Source organism: Homo sapiens, chromosome 7 (assembly GCF_000001405.40).
Source record: "Homo sapiens chromosome 7, GRCh38.p14 Primary Assembly".
Lineage (NCBI taxonomy): Eukaryota > Metazoa > Chordata > Mammalia > Primates > Hominidae > Homo > Homo sapiens.
The window spans coordinates 5160106-5162346 of record NC_000007.14 but is presented as its reverse complement, the minus strand read 5'-3'; the positions used below and the strand labels follow the sequence as shown (position 1 = coordinate 5162346).

Genomic DNA, 2241 nt, shown 5'->3' with positions numbered 1-2241 from the left:
CTCCCAAAGTGCTGGGATTATCGATGTGAATGGAACACCTGGCTGTAATGCCTCTTAAGCTCTGATAACTTTCTTTGCTTTGAGGTCTTCTTTGTTTAGTATTATCATGGTATAGCTTTCCCCACCTCTTTATTTACTTATTTATTTATTTATTTATTTAGAGATGGCATCTCGCTCTGTCACCCAGACTGGAGGCAGTGGTGCCATTTTGGCTCGTTGCAACCTCCGCCTCCCGGGTTCAAACGATTCTCCTGCCTCAGCCTCCTGAGCAGCTGGGACCACAGGCGCACACCGCCATGCCCAACTAATTTTTGTGTGTTTTTAGTAGAGATGGGAGTTTCACCATGTTGGCCAGGCTGGTCTTGAACTCCTGACCTCAGCTGATCCACCCTCCTCGGCCTCCCAAAGTGCTGAGATTACAGGCGTGAGCCACTGCGCCCGGCTGACCTTTTAAAAAAACACCTTCTACAAAGCTTCTGGATGGTTTTTGCATTTTATTATGCCTTGTAATTTTTTCTCCGATAACTGGACATAATTTATTGGGTAAAAGGAGCTGCTATAAATAGACCTGGGGGAGAGTAGTGGTAAGGTGTGGTGGGAGGAGAAGCCTTCTGTAATAGTCCTCTGAGCAGGTCTTAATCTTTGTTTTAAATTATTATTATTTTTTAAAGATGAGGTCTCACTATATTGCTCAGGCTGGTCTTAAACTCTTCAGCTCAAGCAATCCTCCCACCTCAACCTCCCAAAGTACTGGGATTCTGGGCATGAGCCATTGTGCCCGGACAGATCTTTTTTTTTTTTTTTTGAGACAGAGTCTCACTCTGTCGCCCAGGCTGGAGTGCAGTGGCGCAATCTGTGCTCACTGCAAGCTCTGCCTCCCGGGTTCACGCCATTCTCCTGCCTCAGCCTCCCGAGTAGCTGGGACTACAGGCACCTGCTACCACGCCCGGTTAATTTTTTGTATTTTTAGTACACACGGGATTTCACCGTGTTAGCCAGGATGGTCTCCATCTCCTGACCTCGTGATGCGCCTGCCTCGGCCTCCCAAAGTGCTGGAGTTACAGGCGTGAGCCACCGCGCCCGGCTGTGCCCGGCCAGATCTTAATCCTTTAGTGAGCCTGTGCCTCTGGACTGGACTTCATAAGTGCTTATTAACACCCCAAGTCACCTGCTGAGGCGGGACAGGACGGCTCCTGGGGGCTGGGGTTGGGTTTTTCCTTTTCTCCAGGTGGAAGGCTAGGGCCAGCTGGAGTTGGGTATTTTTCTTCCCCCAGGTCAGGTAGGCACTGATGAAGCCCCAGCAGGTTCAGCTGTGGTTAAGTAGTTTCTCCTGAGGGTTGGCCTTGTTAAGAACGGAAAGCCCGGGCTTGTCTCTCTTCCCCTCCCCCTGCTGGAGGCACGAGGGGATTTTTCTCTAATATTCACTCTGAGAACCTGGTTGAGCCTCTGTAGGTAAAACTCACAAGAGCACAGGGCGCCCTGTCTGGGTCCGCTCGGAGGTTTGTTTTGTTTTGTGACGGAGTTTCGCTCCGTCGCCCAGGCTGGAGTGCAATGGCGTGATCTCTGCTCACTGCAAGCTCCGCCTCCCGGGTTCAAGCGATTCTCCTGCCTCGGCCTCCCCAGTAGCTGGGACTACAGGCGCCTGCCACTACGCCTGGCTAATTTTGTGTATTTTTAGTAGAGACGGGGTTTCACCGTGTTAGCCGGGATGGTCTAGAACTCCTGACCTCGTGATCCCCCGCCTTGGCCTCCCCAAGTGCTGGGATTACAGGCGTGAGCCACCGCGCCCGGCCCTGCTGGGAGTTTCTGTCTCAGACTTCTTCAGCCGGGCACAGCAATTCAGCTCCTCAGCCTTCTGCTCTTCCCACCCCTCTTCACTGGGTCCGGTGTGGGGCTTCTGCCCGTGGGTTTCTATGCAGGTAAGTTTTAATTCTCTGTATCCGCCTGTCTCTCCAATTTTGCGGCGGGGAGTTTGCCCTGTGACCTCCCTCCACGGATGGATTTCAGAGGAGTTGTTGACTGTTCAGTTTGTACAGCTTTTTATTTGTGAGCTCAGTGTGGTGACTTCCAAGATCCTTCTGTGCCAAACTGCAAGTCCTATCTGGCTGTTTGTAGGCACTTGGTCCACCCATATGTGAAACCGTAGGGTTGTAGGGGTTTGATAAGGCTGGTGGATTTCTCCCCCATGACCCTTGGTAGCTTTGGTCAGTTCTTGATGGAAGTGGGGATATTTAAATGAGC

General features: G+C 51.6%; 1 annotated feature.

Moving 5' to 3' along the window:
- Positions 1317 to 1496: an enhancer, noted in NCBI's record as "active region_25571". NCBI's record gives its function as "activates an Ori minimal core promoter by ATAC-STARR-seq in GM12878 lymphoblastoid cells {active_cell/tissue: GM12878}" and the evidence as "EXISTENCE:reporter gene assay evidence [ECO:0000049][PMID:35858748]".